At 36.7% G+C, this 19799-nt stretch overlaps 1 protein-coding gene across 15 annotated transcripts in view; it reads right to left on the reverse strand.

The window, feature by feature from the left end:
- TENM1 (teneurin transmembrane protein 1) overlaps positions 1-19799 on the reverse strand; it is an 828410-nt gene that overhangs the window by 80098 nt on the left and 728513 nt on the right. For 8 of the 15 annotated variants that reach the window (XM_017029210.3, XM_017029211.3, XM_017029208.3 and 5 more), the window contains one exon: positions 14725-14823. The exons of 6 other annotated variants lie outside the window; for them this stretch is intronic. In XM_017029210.3, the coding sequence (XP_016884699.1) occupies positions 14725-14823 (99 nt within the window). Of the gene's footprint in view, positions 1-6217; positions 6333-14724; positions 14824-19799 lie in introns of those variants that run through there. One more of the 15 variants, XM_011531237.3, reaches the window with a different exon arrangement.

Below are 19799 nucleotides of genomic sequence, written 5' to 3' on the forward strand. Positions count from 1 at the left end.
TCCAGGGAGGATAATCTGGGACTTTACATAGTTTTCTTACTTTTACTTTTTGTGAAGATCTAAACACTGTGAACTTCTTTGTCTCTGTTCATGTCAGCTGAGTTCCACAGACGAGTGCCCTTTGAAATAAGTCTGGGCTTATTAAATACTCACTAGTTGCCTTCAGGGCTTGTTCTGCTGACAGTTTGTAGAATATTTTCCTTTCATATATTTGTGTAGCAACTTCTTTTATCATGGTCCAAATTCCAAACATACTTCTTTTTCCTTGAGAAGCTTTAATTAACTTTGATTGGGTTACACTTATGTTTGGAGTTGAAAAAGAAACAGTAGAAAAGGCTTTGAGGAAACTATGTGATAGGTGCTTCATAAATGTACCGAGCATATTTTATATGTACATATTTTCCTCTCATTTGCCTTCCCTTACCAACCAATCAACCAACCAACACATAAATTCCCCAAACAACAATTTTGCAACCTCTTTGCTGGTGAAGCTTAAGGGGTATTTAATTTTCACTGAGGGTAAAAATCAAATTGGAAACCCCAGGCATGAAAAAGAGAATAATATTTGTCCATCATTTGGGGAGGTTTCCCCTCCCATAATGCTTATTGTTATAACCCAGGGATAGTGATGATGCTGTAGATATATTACTGCTTGTCAGAATGAGTGAAAGGAGGTGACACATTCCCAGTATATATTTTAAGCTTTATTCTTTGGAGATGGGCATGTGAGTGATTTCAGATCACATAAAGCCATCTGGGGCTAGCAAGATCTGCAGATTCAATTTACTTTCCAATTTTGATATTGCTGTGCCCAGATCTCCAAAACTTGGTAACCAATGTTGTGGGCAAAATTTGTTCCAACGGTCATGTTCATTGATGTGTTCACTGACAGCATTTTCATTAGCACTTAAACAATCAAAGGTACAGTCTCTGGATGAGAAAAGATTTAAAGATTTAAACTGTACTAAGAAAACCACTTCCAGGTTTAAAAATTTTCAACCGGAATTCATTTTTGTTTTCAAAGCAAGTAAAAATACAGAGATCTCTGATATTACCACAAGGTTAGGCCGTGATGCAAGGCAGGTGGAGGTGGAAGTGGGAAGAAAACACACAATAGCTTGAGTCCCCTCAATTTAACTTTGAATTTAAAAATCCCCCTGCACCAAGGAAAACACTGGCCTCAGATGCCCAGACAGCATGTTTAGCTTGGAGCACATTTTTACATTTGGGAGAAAATAAATAAATCCTTGTAAATTAGTGCATATAATGAAAGCACTGACAGACCATAACCTGGAAGTGTGAATGGTGCTGTCTCCATTCATCAGCATTAAGCCCTAACAAGCTCTTTCTATGGAGAGACCTGCTCATAAATAAAGTGCATCTTGTAAAAAAATTATTCACAACATCCCATGCAAAGTAGGGGATATTATATAATATCTGAACTGCAGGCTCTTTTCTCTGTGAAGCAGTGCTCTGTATGAAACAGCTGCAAATTATAGGCAAAATTATTTGACTTCTTCCCTTGTCTTATTATCCTCCAATGAATAAATACTTTAATTCTTTAGATGACAATTGCCTAAAGCTGGGGCAGCCTGGATAGTTACTTATAAATTTATCACCTGTGAGGGGAAAAGATGCTACTGATCAATACTGAAGGAACAGGGGCATCCTGATGTAATCACTGAGAGTCCAGATGTGGTGCTTAATAGCCTGGAAATAGTAGCTAAATCCCAAATTAGATAACAGTGAAGATTTGAGTTTTTGGCTGTGTAGAATGCCAATTTCAAATGTTGGCAGAAGGCATCTCTGTACTTAATTTTTTAAAATTACAGCTGTTGAGGCCACCTACATTTTTATTATTTCTATATAAAAAATGAAACATCTTTCAGAATATAAGCTTTGGAAAGCAGTCATAACATTCTCTTCATCTATAGCCCTAGCAACAAGAAAACTGAAATACTGGATGTTTTTCTGCCACAATCTGCTGTTTAATTTTATCAGACAAAGATAAATGGTTAAATCAACTTCCAGGGAAATTCCTAAGCCTAATATGGTGTCAGCTCAATCTCCAATACTGAGAGTGCTGAATTGTGTAACTGATTCAAAAATGTTCTTTTAGTCAAGGAGAATTTTTCTTTGTTCATGTGCATTCCAATTCTCTGAAAATTGGTACTATATGTGTGGTATATATGGAAACTCTACTAGGCAGAAAAGTCCATTCTTCAACCCATCTGACTACTGTCCACTTAATTACCCTCTGGGATCAGAAAGGCCCAAGTTACTTATGCATAATAAGCCTGTTAAGTTTTCTCACTATGTAGCCACTAAATGGAGCTTCTAGAACTTGGAGGGTTTACAGATTTCTGTGTGTCACTAGAGGTTGGAAGGAGGCAGAGCTTAATGACAAGCTGAGATGATTTCACTGTGTGGTTAACAGTGGCATCAGGATTTCTCCAGTAAGGAGACACTAATAAACTCACTGTAATATTATATGACTAGTGAATAGTGAGTTATTTAATCAGATATTTTGTTTAATAAAATGTTCTAGTATATTCTACATAGTAAAGGTCAATTTCCAAAGAACATAAACACAAATTAAAAATGATAAGCTTTCAAACTAATATTCTGCTGACTGGAATGTCTTATTTTGATTACTCAAAAGGCACTTCAAAGGGCTTCATAGTCATTATAAAGAACAATAAATTTGTGGGCTAGTTAACCAAGAATTCTGATTGAGAGAAAGACAGACGACACCAGTGTTTAGCATTTGTCTTGTCTTCAGCTCCTTGTGATCCTCTCAAAACTTTAGACTTCAGCTTTGCCATAAGGCAAAGTGAATGGACAGCCCTTTTAAATCCACCAACCACTATTTTTCTTAAAGCTTACTGAGAAAAATGTTTTTCTGTTTACTCATTAACTTATTCAAGATTTATTCTGCACCCTCTGCGTGTGAGCACTGTCCTAGGCAATGAGAGTACAGGAGACTATAAAACAGACATGGCGTTGCTCTTAGAAAGCCTGGAAACTGGTAGAGGGAGACAGAGAAATAACCAGGCAATTGCAATGCCATTAGATAAGCACTAGTTTGGGGCAAGTCCAAGGTGCCATGGGAGCATCCTTGGGGGATGGGCCGGGGAAATGAAAGTCACAAGTGATTTCTCAGACTTAAGTGATAGGTAAGCTGAAATCTGAAGAACCATGTTGAATTCTAGATGAGCCTAGTATGTATGAAATCCAGGTAAACACCACTGAAAATCTATGAAAGATGACTAATATTACTAAACAATAATCATTTCCATTTGCCGAGAACACTATGATATTCCAGGTACTGTGCTGGATTCCTTACATAGATTTTCTCATTCAATCCTCCCAACAGCCTTGTGGAGTAGGTACTAATGTAATTTTTTAGATGAGGAAATGGAAGTGCAGAGAGGTAGAGTGACTAACTCTAGGTTACATACCTAGAAAGTGCTAGTTTAAAGCGATGGGGAAAGGACTCCCTATTCAGTAAATGGTGCTACAATAACTGGCTAGCCATATGCAGAAGACTGGAACTGGACCCCTTCGTTATACCATATACAAAAATTAACTCAAGATGGATTAAAGACTTAAAAGTAAAACCCAAAACTATAAAAACCCTGGAAGAAAACCTAGGCAATACCATTCCAGACATAGGCATGGGCAAAGATTTCATAATGAAGACACCGAAAGCAATGACAACAAAAGCAAAAATTGACAAATGAACTTCTGTACAGCAAAAGAAATTATCAACAGAGTACACAGGCAACCTACAGAATGGGAGAAAATTTTTGCAAAGTATGAATCTGACAAAGGTCTAATATCCAGCATCTATAAGGAACTTAAACAAATTTACAAGAAAAGAAAAAAACAAACAACCCCATTAATAAGTGGGCAAAGGACATGAACAAACACTTCTCAAAAGAAGACATACATGTGGCCAACAAGCATATGAAAAAAAGCTCAACATTACTCATCATTAGAGAAATGCAAATCAAAACCACAATGAGATACCATTTCACACAAGTCAGATTGGCTATTATTAAAAGTCAAAAAATAACAGATGCTGGCAAGGTTGTGGAGTAAAAGGAATGCTTATACACTGTTGGTAGGAGTGTAAATTAGTTCAACCATTGTGGAAGACAGTGTGGTGATTCCTTAAAGACCTAAAGACAGAAATACCATTGGACCCAGCAGTCCCCTTACTGGGTATATACTCAAAGGAATATAAATCATTCTATTATAAAGACACATGCACGTGTATGTTCATTGCAGCACTGTTCACAGTAGCAAAGACATGGAATCAACCTAAATGCCCATCACTGATAGACTGTATAAAGAAAATGTGGTACATATACACCATGGAATACTATGAATCCATAAAAAGGAATGAGATCATGTCCTCTGTAGGGACATGGATAAAGCTGGAGGTCATTATCCTTAGCAAACTAATACAGGAACAGAAAACCAAATACCACATGTTCTCACTTATAAGTGGGATCTAAATGATGGGAACACATAGACACATAGAGGGGAACAACACACACTGGGGCCTATCGGATAGTGGAGGGTGGGAGGAGGGAGAGGATCAGAAAAAACAACTAATGGATACTAAGCTTAATACCTGGGTGATGAAATAATCTGCACAACAAACCCCTATGACATATGTTTACCTACGTAATAAACCTGTACATGTACCCCTGAACTTAAAGTAGAAGTTGAAAAAAAAAAAAAAGAAAATGCTAGTTTAACACAAGTTTGTCTGAGTTTAATGCCCATTCTCTTAACCACTATGCCATGTAGCTTAAATGAGGTTATCAATTGCTTTACCACAGGGATGGGGTACAGACTGGCTTAAGAAGGTTCAGAAACTCCATGAAATTATCCACAAAATGTTTTGTGTATGGGTATTATCATGGGGAGAGAGCCCATTGGCTTTGTTAGATTGTCAAAAGGATCTCTGACCCGTCCCAAAAATTGTTAAGAATTCTTGTATTCCTATAGATCTCTTAGACTTCTTCAGAATTATTCTTCAAAGGTATTCTGTGGCTTCATCTTCACAGAGCTGATGAGTTTCAAGAAAGTACTCAAGACCTTCCATGTGGTGGGGAGTTCAGTAACTTTACTATTATCATAGAATTACCACCTAAAAAGGAGACCCCACGCAGTGGGATATCAACTCACCTAGGTCAAAATAGCTTTTATTAAAAAAGATAGGGAATAATGAATGCTGGTGAGGATGTGGAGAAAGGGGAATCCTCATATATTGTTGGTGGAAATGTAAATTAGGATAGCCACTACAAAAAATGGAATGAAGGTCCCTCAAAAAACTAAAAATAGAACTATCATATGATCTAGCAATTCCACTACTACTACTGGGTATATATAGAAAATAACGGAAATCAGTATATCAAAGGGATATCTGCACTCCCGTGTTTATTGCAGCACTATTCACAACAGCCAAAATATGGAATCAACTAAGTACCCATCAATAGGTGAATGGATAAAGAAAATGTGGCACATATACACAATAGGATATTATTCAGCCATAAAAAGAAGGAAATTTTATCATTTGCAGCAACATGGATGGAACTAGAGGTTATTATGTTGAGTGAAATAAGTCAAGCACAGAAACACAAATATCACATGTTCTCACTGATACGTGGGAGCTAAAAAAGAGAGTAGATTAGTCGTTACCGGAGGCTGGGAAGGGTAAGGGAGGATGAAGAGAGGTATATTTATACCCATTAATCAATGATAGAAGAAATAAGAACTAGGGTTTGATAAATCAGTAGAGTGATGTAGGTTACAATAATCCATTGTATATTTCAAAATAACTAGAAGAGAATAATTTGAATGTTTCTAGCATAAAGAAAAGACAACTATTTAAGGTGATGAATATCCTAATTATACTGATTTGATCTTTACAAATTATACAAATGTATGAAATTATCACACATAGCTCCCAAATATATATATCTATATGTATCAATTAAAATTAATAAGGTCGTTTCATTTTCAGTATGACAGAGACAATGCTATGTGTTCATGTCATCCCGTTTCTCTTTCTTTCTGAGAACAGAGTTAGATTACGTTTCTCAGCCTCCTTTCCAAGTTAGGTGTGGGCAGAAGTAATGGATGCGACTTCTAGGCCTGATCCTTAAGGAACTATCTACTGAGTTTCTGTATGGATTACTACCTTCCACTGTAGGCTGGCTGCATGCAGACCATCCAGTAGAGGACTCCAAGGCCTAAGGCATTGAGGAATCACTAGATGGAAGAAGGCTGGTTCCTTGAATCACTGCTTGGAGCAGAGATTCTTCCACTCCCCAGGCAACCCACATTAAATTGTGATGTAAGAATGAAATAAGTTACTATTTTTGTTAAGCTATTGAGATACTGTGTGTGTGTGTGGGGGGGGTGGGGGTGGGGGGGAGGGTGTGTGTGTTTAATATGGTTGTTAGCTTGGCCCGAGTATTAACATTCAGCAACCCAAATCCTATTCACCTTTTAAGGCTTTTATAGGAAGTTTCCCTTTCATGAATCCTTCCCTGCAAACTCCAGTTCATTGTGGTCTGTTTTCTAACCCACAGAAGCTGTTACTTATTTATTTATTTGTTAATGTGAATTCTCCAATCATGATCCATGTAGGTAATAAGCTCCCTGAGGACAGGAACTGGATTTTAGAATTAGTTTTTATATCTCAAATAATTCAGTACACTTGGGCACAAATGTTCAATAAACCTTCCTGATTTACAGGACTAAATTTCCATGCATTTATACTGAAACATATCTACCTTGAACAAAATAAAGCATGCCAGGAGGCCAAGAACTGCATATGAATTTCACTAGAAATGAGCTTAGAAAGGATGCAGTGACAATGTCTTTCTCTAAAGTCCTTTAAGAGGAATACAGTCCCCTATCAATTAGTGATGATTGGAATATGGGAAAAGTGGGGTTGACAACCAAGAGCAAACAGACAAAGGACCATGGATCAAATTAACTGCAAACAAATGTGATCCATGTGGATAGCTACAATGAATAGCTCATGACACCGCTCCCCCCACCACACACACAAATCCAGTTGTTCTGTCAATATAACTTTGTTTGCGATCTTGTGATCTCTTCCGACCTTACCATGTTAGGAGTTCTGAAGAAACAGAAGTGCCTCAGGATTTTTTTTCAGGCTGATTTTTCTTACAGAATAGCTGTAGAACTTTGGATAATGCATTTGACCGCTCAGTGTCTTGATTTCTTAACTTATATACTACCTACTACACAAGGTAACATGGTGTGAAGCTCACAAGAGCCAATGAAATGAAAGGACTTTGAAGAAGATAAAGTATTATGGTGGTGCTAAGTGGTATCTTAATTGCCTAGTTATTGCTATAATTCTTTCTGACAGTGACTTTTCTAAGCCTAGAATCATAGTCAAAAATTTCCACACAGGCCCTGCTTGAACACTTTAGGCTTTTCTGTGTTCTGTAAATAAGATTTAAGTCCATGGAGCATTATGTAACCCTTGTCAGTAGGAGAGCACCCTATGTTAGATTCACCATAGAGACAATTCAGTAGTTGAAAACAGTTTTGTTAGCTCAGGGGAAATACTACACTATTAAATTATTGGTGTAAAAGCCTTCAAGCTTTTATAAGATGGTTAAAGTTTCCGTACACAGAATCAAATAAATGAGGTTCCATGCCGTGCAACTCGCTAAGGAAGACCCTTGGCCAAGGTGGTGGTAATGTCTCAACATTTAACAGTGAAACCAGACACTGATAATAATGTGATTTATTTTTCTTTGCTTTATAGAGGTTGGGGTGTGTGTGTGTGTGTGTGTGTGTGTGTGTGTGTGTGTGTGGAGAGAGAGAGAGAGAGATTGGGGTAAGTAGATGGTGCTAGTTCAAGTTGAAATGCACATGTCTTGTTTTATTTTTGTGTTAGAGTTCCCACTCAAAAGATGCCTGCAGGCTGAGATTTAAGGGTTCTCAGTATATATGGGCTAAGATAAATGAGGTTTACTAAATCTGAGCTGCATATTTTATATCTCCCCCTTTAGAAATTCCTCAAACATCAAGCAACGATATCTGAGACACTACTCAGATACATTTGAAAGAACTGTCGCTGTCATCCTAAGGAAGGCAACTGCCACACAAGAACGTTAGTGAACAATTAGCCCTAGGAAGGAAAGTTCGTTTATTGCCCATGGACCAGCAAAAAACTAATTGCAGTTGTTGCACTCTAGGGAAAATGAGTCTATCTCAAGGTATGTGAATGACCAAGAGGTTCTAATATAAAAAGCAAACTAAGTATACCTTGTCCCAAATACTCAATAAAAGCAGGATATGAGGAATTAAGCCAATAGTGCTCACTATTCACAAAAGTGGGGTAACTCAAGAGGAATTAAAATTTCTTTAGGATAATGATTTGCATGTAGTGCCCATTCAAAAACAACACAGAGGGCCCATTTAAAATTCTCCCTGCATCCGTATGTCTTGACTAATGAAGCTAGTGCTAGAAGAGAAGTTCACAAAGTCAGGAGTGGTAGACAGTCATTTGCAAAAGGTAAGGCAGGGTAATGAGCACTGCGTGAATACACATTTTAAACCTTTTAAGTGGAGGTTCAAGAGACGTTTGGGAGAACTGATTTGGGCTCAATCAAGAATATATGAATATAACAACAGCATACACACACAGACACAGGCACAAATATGACAGCGGAACAAAAAGCGAAAAATAGTCAAAGCAGTTGTTTAATGAGATAAACAACTTCTTTTACTGTTTTTACCTTTCCACACTCTGACCTACAAGTGTGACAATCTGTGGGCACAAGAACGCGACATTGAGAGGCATTTAAAATGCTGGGATGTTTTGTTCAAAGGGGGCTGGTGACTTCCTTATCCTTGTCTTGATTGAGATTGGAGTTTCCAAGGCCATTTCCCTGTCTATTTTCCTCTAAACTCAAATATCCAGACAAGTTCATCAGAGCTATGAGAGGTGGAGTAAAGAGTCTGGGCTAGAAGCCAGAAGATCCAGTTGTGAGACTGACTGTGACTTTAACAAATTTAAATAGTCTCCCAGTCCTCAGGTTTTGCCTTTGTCTAATAGTGAGTAGAAAAGCTGAGCTGCTCATGTCAGTGGATGACTGTAAAGACCATATAAAATAACTTCTATGTGTGAAATCTTTCTGAAAGCTCAACACAAGTGATGTTAGTATTTATTTATGTTTTGGTTTTATTACTTATTTATAGAGACAGGGTGTTGCTCTGTCGCCCAGGCTGGAGTGCAGTGGCATGATCACAACTCACTGCAGCCTCGAACTCCTGGGCTCCCGACATCATTCCCCCTCGGCCTCTCTAATAGCTGGGACCACAGGTGCATAACACCACACCTGGCAAATTAAAACAATTTTTTTGTAGATATGGGGGTCTCACTATGTTGACCAGGCTGGTCTTGAACTCCTGGGCTCAAGTGATCCTCCTATCTTGACCTCCCAAATCTTTGGGATTACAGGCCTGAGCCACCGTGCCCCATCTTAGTTATGCCTTATTCCTTGATCTCTTATTTCTTTTGGAGTTCACTTAACCCATCAGGAATAGAGGTTAGAATCTAGTTCCTAGTTCTTTTTTACCTTTGTGTCCCATCCTTTTTCAGATTCCTTCCTTTTTCTCCACTTCTTCCCTGTTCTCATTTTCCCCCTTTTTTTTTCTCTCCAAACCCCAACCAGCTCTCCAGTCTGCGAATCCCCGTGGTATTTAAAGTTGATGCATGCAACCTAATTCTGTATTTTAGTCTTTTCTAATGAGTCCTCCCGTGTCTCCCCAAAGAGATAATATTCCACTCAAGGGCAGGGACCATATCTTCTTAGTTTACTTATGATTTCCAAATTTGTTGCTTGAAAAACTTAACAAAACAATAAAGCTCAGTGAATGTGGTTCTTTTTCTAACAAGATATACCAGGCGCATGATGTGGACGTGCTACAGTAGCTAAAACCAGTGGGAATCTTATGAATAGTAAGGTGGGGCCATTGACACTAGTGTGTTGTTGACATCAGTAAAATAAATATATTTAAAGTATTAATTAATATAATGGCATCTCTGGATTCCTGTCGGATAACCAGTAAGTTTGTGCTGCAACAAGAGATGGTTGTGGTGTTTGACTATAGCATTTAGCACAGTTCCTGCCATACAAGACTACTTTATATATATAAACACACTTTATATGTTCATAAAATAGATGATTAAGGTCTATTTTAGAAACATAACAATTTGAGCAATTTAAAAAATGAGTAATTAATAACAGGCAGTGACTCTGATAAAGGAATGAAAACAAAACAAAACTGAGTTGTATGAAAATACTTCCAGACGCCATTGTTACAACTACAGTGATTCATTCCTTAATTCAACAGCTCAAACATCTCCAGCATTTCCAGGAACTAGGAAGATATCATTTTAGGGCCAAAGCAGAAGCAAGTGGTTTTGGTCATTTGTAAATTGGCTAGTATTTTTTTTTAACATTCAATACATTATTTGAATAATGTCATACTGTTAAAATTAGATCAGATATACTTGGGAAAAAGTGCCCAGCATTCGTAAGAAAAGTACAACGGAAAGAAACATTTTAGGGTGCTAACTGTTGATCTGTGGTTTCTCAAAATTTCAAGTATAACAAGTGAAAATCAGAAGATTTCAAAGTAACCCTTCTTCTGTCCACTCTCCCTGGAAATGTCCCCAGTTTTACTACTCTGGGAAAGGTGAGATCTTGCCCCAATTCATTAAATAGGGCTCCAGTAGTAGCCTGCCTGCAGTTCTGATTTTACTTTGCTCAAGAGAACACAGAGAAAGGATTATGAAAACCAATATAGGTAAGCTTAGCAGAATCTATTCTGATGGATTTTGGCTTGCGGAGGGACAAAGCAGACCTATCAATCTATTACTATGGCTTCAATTTCCTCGGGTTAGAGATGCTTTCCAAAATGAGAAATAATTCCTGCCCACTAAGAGAAATTACCACTGTAGTCAGCTTCCTTTCCTGAGTAAATACAGGTAAAATGGGGCACCTACCCACCTTCCTTTTCCCCCAAACCCATTAGACTGTTTCCCCCAAATGCAGTCTAATAAGCTTTTTGAAAATTGTGTTGCCCCTAAACACAGTCTAATAAGCTTTTTGAAAAATCAAATGGAATAGCTAGTAAATGAAACTGGAAGAAAAATAGAGCAAATAACACTGGGGCTTCCTGGCTAGGCTTTGATATTTGAGGCTTGAAGATAACCTCACATTTGAGTTATTAAGCCTGTGATTCCTCAGGGGGAAACTTTAAATGGGCCAGAACTCACTCCCAAGGGAACAGTGACTTTCTTCGGTCAACGATAAAGCTGACTCATTATACGGAGGCTCTCTCAGGAAGTTCACTGTCAGCCATTTAGGAAACTCCACATATGGGTACATACTAGAGGTGCTGAGGTGATGGTCTCTACAGCTAATGGAAGAGCTTCAAAACCAATCTGTTCAGAAAATAACGGATTAATGCAGGGGTCCTTGATGAACCTGCTCCAAGGCCAAAACTGGTGTGTGTTCTCATATGTTGGTACCTGTGCGTTACAGGATGTTAAATATTTTGACCATCATTTCTATAGGAGTGAAAGTCTTATTTAAAACAAAACAAAACAAAACAAATCACTTTCTGAAATGGAATAGTCAGGCATACATTTGTAAGTTGATTTCTAAACCCTAGTTTTGTTTGTTTGTTTGTTTGTTTTTTGACAGAGTCTCACTCTGTCACCCAGGCTGCAGTGCAGTGGCGCAATCTCAGCTCACCACAACCTCTGTCTCCCAGGTTCGAGTGATTCTTCCGCCTCAGCCTCCCGAGTAGCTAGGATTACAGGCACACGCCACCATGCCCAGCTAATTTTTGTATTTTTAGTAGAGATGGGGTTTCACTGTGTTGGCCAGGCTGGTCTCGAACTCCTGACCTCAAGTGATCCGCCTGCCTCAGCCTCCCAAAGTGCTGATATTTCTAAACCCTACTTCTGACTTAAAATGTTTCAAAATTAGGAAATATTTCAACTGGTTAGAAAAGTCAGAAAATAATATTACAGACCATCATGCATCCACCACCAAAATTTAATAGATGTTATCATTTGCTTCACATATCTCTTTCTTTTTTTTTTCTTTTTGAGATGGAGTCTCTCTCTGTCACCCAGGCTGGAGTGCAGTGGCGTGATCTTGGCTCACTGCAACCTCCACCTCCCGGGTTCAAGAGATTCTCCTGCCTCAGCCTCTTGAGTAGCTGGGATTACAGGCACCCACCACCACGCCTGGCTAATTCCTTTTTATTTTTAGTAGAGATGGGGTTTCATCATGTTGGCCAGGCTGGTCTCGAACTCCTGACCTTGTAATCTGCCCGCCTCGGCCTCCCAAAGTGCTGGGATTACAGGCGTCAGCCACCGCGCCCGCGCCCGGCACATATCTATTTCTTAAAAAGGAAATGATATGGATATAGCCAATCCCATCTCCTTATCCCTATCCTCTTTTTCCTTCCTTCTCCAGAGGTAACTACTGTCCTGAAGTTAGTGTGTATCATTCCCATGCATGTTTTTATAAATTTTCCACATATGTGTATATATCCATGAATAATATATAGTATTGTTTTTGTGCTTTAAAAATTTATGTAGGAGATGGATGACAGTGATGGCTAAACAATAATGTGAACGTACTTAATGCCTCAGAACTGTATGTATAATAAAATAGTAAATATTGTTATGTATATTTTACCACAATAAAAACACGTAAATTATATTACACCTTATGTATCCTTTTGCAATTTTCTCTTTTATCCATGCAACATTATATTTTTGACTATTAATGGTTTTACATGTAGATCTAGCTCATTCATTTTTACTGTTGTATAAATGTTCCATCATTTGACCAACCCCCTGTCAATGGATTATTAGGTTGTTTCTATTTTTTATACTACAGTTAATATCATAGCACATGTCTTATGCATGTGTGTACTTGTGACTGTCCATACACTCTTCTTCAGTCAAGCACCCTCTAGCTCATCTCTCTGATGTTGCAATTTTTCCCCTTTAGTTGAACAATGAATTTTCCACGTAAACAGAATTAAATTAGGGCTGTGTCTGTACAATCAATGAAGTCTGAAAGAAGAAAATTTGAATGCAGTCAAACAATTTTGAAAACAAAATGTTTATTACAAATCTTGAAAATAATCTACTTAATAATAGTTATTAGCTTAAAAAAGTATTTTAATACTTATCCTCTTTCTCATCATCATACTTCATTCAGTACTTATTCTGTGCCAGGCACTGTTTAACCCATCTTGCGTCATTTCATCCTCTATAAACCCATAATGAAGGTAGGTACTATTTCCATTTTACAGATGACAAAACAGTGGCTCAAAGATGGATTCAAAATAAATTTGAGCCCATTTTTATCTGTACTATTCCAAAGTCTCTGGTTTTAACTACTGCAAACACTTCCTAAGTTTTCCAAATTTCACAGGGCTCAAATTGGAGAGGCACATGGTATGATTTAAGGGTCACTAAAAAGTCTGCCCACCTGCCTTAAATATATTATATCTTTACGACAGGAAGATTCTTCCAGCTGGACACAAACTCTAGAGATGTTAAGAAGATATATTGATAAATCTGACCATATGAAGTTAGAAAATTCTATAGGGTTAAAAAAAGAGAAAAAAATGACAAGCTTGGAAAAATATTTGGAACACATATGAAAGACAAAGGGATGTTTTTCTTAATTTCCAGAACAGAAAGGACAACAGCTCAGTAGAAAAACTGGAAGGGGATATGAAAGTGAATTTACCAAAAAAGAAATACAAATGGTCACAACAGATATGAAATGAGACTCAAATTCATTGATAATTAAAGGAATGGAAATTAAAGTTACAAGCTACAAGACACCATTTCCCACTGCTCAGATGGGCATACATTAGGAGGTTTATATTGAGAGCTGCTGAGGGTATTGCAGACTGGCACTCTGATACACTATTAGTGAGACTGTAAATGTGTTCAATCTTTTGGGAGGACAATTTGGCAATATCTACTACTGCTAAAAATTAACCCTATGTATATACTCACAAAAGTGCTCCAAAATATATGAACCAGGTTATTCATTGCAGCACTGTAATAATAAAAGATTAAAAACAAGCAACAAGTATATCAAGAGGCAACTGGCTTAATACATTATGGTGTATCCATATGTTATAATATCGTGCAGCTCTTAAAAACAAAGAGGTAGAAATGTACCTGCTTTTATGGAAAGATCTTCAAGACATATTATTAAATAAAAGAAGCAGGGTGAGGAGTAATCTATATGGTATGGTTTCCTTTTATGTAAGGGAAAAATATATATATAGGTCTGGAAGGAATCTCAAAAGCCTGTTAAAATTGGTTATCTTTACAGAGAGAGACCTGGGTGTGTTTGTGGCAAAGAAGCCTGAAATTTCTTTTGTATCTTTCTATACAGTTTGAACTATCAAACCATAGACATTTTATTACTTTTACATTTTTATGTTTCAATGTCAAGAGTGCTTATCTAGATGCCTTTTAAATTTTTCTTCTTTCTCCTACTCTTTTTTAAAAAAAATAAATGTAATTTAAATATCTTTTACTACTGGCCTGCCAGGATTCCTTCAAGGTCTTCCATTTAGGTTTCTTCCTTGACTTACGGTATTGCCCCTTCAGCAGGTCTCCTGTAACATGCTCAGGTGGGAGTAACCCATTGTCAACCATCAGTACTATGACACTCCTTCTTGGAGAGCTGTCATCTATGAAAACAGAGAGCTGAGTCCTCAGAAATCGGGCCATAGGACAAGACAGGGTGTGTATGTGAGAAAATAACATACATGTATTTTTAAGAAAAATACAAAAGTTGCACTTTATTTCATAACTAGACATCAACTCAAAAAATAATATCTGGTCTTTTGTTGAATTATAATAAATGCTCAGAAAATTAAAGAGAAGAAAAGTCACTTATAATTCCTTATGCCCTTATATAGCAATTATCATTGCTAACATTTACATATACTCCCTTTCAAACTTTCTCTCTCTATATACATAGAGAGAAATATATAATATATAGTAATATATAATATATATTATGTCATATATAATATATAGTACTATATAATATATATTATATAATATATAGTACTATATATTATAATATATAGTACTATATATAATATATAATAATATATATTATAATATATAGTACTATATATAATATATAGTACTATATATTATAATATATAGTACTATATATTATAATATATAGTACTATATATAATATATATTATAATATATAGTACTATATATTATAATATATAGTACTATATATAATATATATTATAATATATAGTAATATATTATATATTATATAATATATAGTACTATATATAATACTATATATAATATATAATATATAATATATAGTATTATATAATATATAATATATAGTAATATATAATATATAATATATAGTAATATATTATATATAATTATATAATACATCATAATATATAATATATAATTATATAATATAGAGTAATATATAATATATAATATAGATTAATATATAATATATAATTATATAATATACAATATAGAGTAATATATAATATATACTTATATAATATATAATATAGAATAATATGTAATATACAATTATATAATATACAATATAGAGTAATATATAATATATACTTATATAATATACAATATAGAGTAATATATAATATATAATATATATATTACCCTTACACCCTTACAGATGAGGCAGCATACAGTACATACAGCTTTGTGTCCTGAACTTTTCATTGAATGCTATCTTGTGAATATCTTCCTTATACCTGCAGGGGCGTACCAAGGTTTGGGGGAGCAGGTGGGAGTGGTTGGTTCTGGGTATAGAGAGTAAGGGGAAGTGCATTTTCTGTTGAAATCTTAAAAAACAATAATAAATCTGGTGAATAGTAGGTCTGCTTTAACTATCAACATTCGCTGGAAATTCCAAATAATGTCAGTGATAAAATACTTCTTCCACTGTCCCATCCCCCTTTAGTATGCCACTTATACCCACCCAGTTCTGATTAGGGAAGAGAGGAGACAAAAAGTTGGATTTCTATCTAGGAGAGATAGACTGAGGGCTGCCGCAAGGGGCTCAGAGTTAGGCAGGGAGTCACTGAAAGATGGGATGAAGAGGAGACATTTTAAACATCCCCTATTTTCTGCTTAGATCTGTCCAGCTTAGATAACTTTTAAACATATGCTTGACGTAAAAAAAAAAAAAAAAAAAAAAAAAAAGCGGCTGACTATGAGGTACTCCTGGGTTTTTTTTTTTTTTTCCCAACAAAAAAACCCAGAAGCTGTCTTTATGTTGCATATAACTTATGTCATTAATGATGCTGTTGTAAGTGCCCTGAGTAGTGACATCTATAAACCCTGGGCTGAAGTGGCCAAAAATGGAATCAATTGTTCAATTATAAAATAAAAAATGAACTTCTTTACTCTATTTCCAGCTGTGTTTTAGCCTGTGACAGTGTTAAATTCATAGATTTCCAAAGAAATCTTAGTTTGCTGCATGTTGTTTGAATTTTACACTATAAAACTACTAATTTATCCAGTATTTCTGGAGGATCCATGAAGCTAAAATGATCTTTTATGACTCTGCTAGTGTAGAGTGAATATTCTGGATTCCCTAGGAAGTCAACACACTGTAGACTTCAGATTCCTTCAAAAATCAGCAAAGCATGCTAGTCTCACCAGGAAATGACTTCCCAATTTCTTTAATTTTATAGTCAGCTCCATGCATTTGGTAATCGTGAAATTACTGGACCATCTTGTATTGATGGTGGACTAATATGGAGCCATGATCAAAGTTCAACTCTAATACAGCTTTATGTTTTAGAATCTTAAAAACAAACATTTTGCATGGACAGAAGTGTCCTAATTAACTTCTGAAGAATCTGTACATTAAAACATCTTACCCTGCTGGAGAAGACTGATAAAGCAAACATACTACCTTTTGCTGAAGAGAAACTGTATTTAGAAGGAACTTGCTATTCTCATAAAACTTTCAATAGGAAGAAGTGAATCAAATTTCTTAATTACCATTTTATGGTTGGTAAAAGGGCAAATTACATGCCATCCATTTCTAAACTTCTAAATGTCTCTGGTGCTTTTAATTAAAGCTGCCACCTAGAAACTACTAAAGCAATTTTACACAATTAGTTATTTATAGGTTACCATAATACACCACTCAAAATATGATTTAAGTGATTTGCAGCCTATTAGTGTGTGATCTCTGTCACTTTTTTGGCAGGGGTGGTGAGGACTCTTCTTTTTCATCAGCTGAGGCAGATAAGAAAAGTGTGACATTGAGGAGCTGTGATAGGGAAGCAAAGTTATTTTGGCTAGCGATCTTAAATAAAAAGAGGAACCAGAATTCCAAGCTGTCAGTCTTTGCATGTAGGCGTCCAAGTTTCATTCTAGACAATACTGTGGAGATGAAGTATATCAGTGCTATTCCTCCACCTCTTCCCACTTTGCAGCTATTCTGCCATATACCTAGCACCACACTTCTGCATGCTACCTTCAGTGGTTCCCACCTAGGCTTGTCTTTCTCAGGTGATCTTGTCAATCCAAACATATCCATCTTCTGCTCCATTCCCTCCAGGCCCCCATTCCCTCCAGGCCCCCATAAAGTGTTTTAATGAAGAATTAATATGCTGCTCTCCTAGACAATTCCCTGCACCACATACTAAGTTTGCATCTGAAGAAAATCCTTATGGGAATGAATTTAATTGTGAAATAGTACGCTGCTAAGGGAATTACTTTAGTTAGATGGGCCTTGTGGGGCTCCCCAAAATATAACATGTACAAGGAACCAACACTAGAATTGCTGCATCTCAAGGTGAGGAGGGGTCGGCTAGTCAAATCACATACAACATGTGAATTCCATCCTACCTTGACTCTTGCTTCTTCTGTGGCACCCATCCTACCTAGAAATTATCAAGTCTCAGATTGACCTACAAGGACATAATGTTTCCTTCCTTCCAAAGTAACTTATTACATATATGGGTCATTATTATAATTATTATGACTATAGCAACAAAACAGCAAGACTGAGCATAACAGTAAGTAATACTGTTATGTAATACAGTAACATACTTTATGCTGGGTGTCACACTAGGCAATTTACATACATTATCCAACAACCCATTGTGTAGGCACTATTACTAGTTTTCCAACTTTACAGATGAGGAATCTGAAGCTCAGGGAAGTTAGGTGACTTGCCTAAGGTTAAACATTTAATTAGCAGTGGATCTGGGATTTGCCTCCATTTCTGTTTGACTCAAAAACCTGAAAAATTATCTACCATGTTATCTGGCCTCTAAAATATTACCTCTGTGCTTGCTAGAATCTGATGCATACATGAAAATTAAGACAAATGCAGAAGAAAAAGTCATTTAATAATGCATCTGTGGCTTTATAAAAATTGAAAAAACTTAATATAGGTCTTCCAACCATGGATGCTACCTAGACCAAACAGGCAATGAGCCAAGGCTAGATGTAAGTGCCTTCCTTTTGTCTGACTTCTCTCATCAACAGCTTATGGCTTTGGGATTGCAACAGAACAGGCCGGAAGGTCCTCAAGTTCCAGTTGCTGACATAATCTAAGGCCAAAATCTTTTGACTACCCTAAGCAGATGCATTAGATGAACTGTGCATAAAAAACAGGTTAACCTCTAATTCTGGTTGTATAACAGGCACTAACTCTTCTGTTGCAGTTACAGTAAGCTGAGAGACCACTAACAGTGTTTGAGACAGAAACCCCCCCTAAATGAAAACAGCACAAGGTCATTGAGGGATAAACAACAAATATTTTGCCTGAATTTTAAGGCTTTATCAAACATGTTTTTTTCAAGATGTTTCTGATTCTAAAACAAGGTTGTTGGAGTAAAATTCTCATAAGAAATGTCTTGAAACTGGGCTAGGAATTTGGCCATGGGTGGTAGAATGCTGTCTTACCCAGAAGGAAGACTTCAGTAAGTGCCTCTCCTAAACCTTTCCCACTTACACCCTCATTTTAAGCAGAACAGATCCACTTCTCAGAACACGGAGGCTATCAAGATGAAGAATCATCACTCTTCTAGCTTCTCCTACTACAAACTGATCCTCATCCCTATACCCTACAAATAATCGCTTCAGTCTCCCCTCCTATTCTAGGCCGACTTCCTTCCAGTTTCCTCCATGCTTTGATTTATTCCCCGTCTTCTTTATCTTTCCATTGACTGATAAGCATTGCCACATCTCCCCTTATAGAAAAAGGCTTCCTGAGTTCATTGGCCTCCCACGATTTATCACTCCATCTCTCACATTCAAGCTTCTCAGAAGAGTGAGCTTCACCAGTGATATTTATTTTCTCATCTCTCATGGGCTCATCAAATGACTAAAATCTGGCTTCCACCTCTACCACCATCCAAACCACCAATGGCAGGGTCACCAACGAACTCCTCATTGCCTAATGCAATAGCTACAAATGTGTGACACTTGATACTGTTTTTCACACCTCCTTGAAATTAACTACTCTCTGGCTTCCTGGACAGTGTGCTCTTTTGGTCCACCACCCTTTTTTCTGAAGGTTTCTGCTCTGTTTCCTTCATTAGATCCTCTTCCATTGCCAATCTTATACAGATGAGTACTCCCTGTCATTTATTTGCCCCAGTTTTGCTCCAGCGCATTT

This window comes from Homo sapiens, chromosome X, assembly GCF_000001405.40.
Source record: "Homo sapiens chromosome X, GRCh38.p14 Primary Assembly".
NCBI classification, from domain to species: Eukaryota; Metazoa; Chordata; class Mammalia; order Primates; family Hominidae; genus Homo; species Homo sapiens.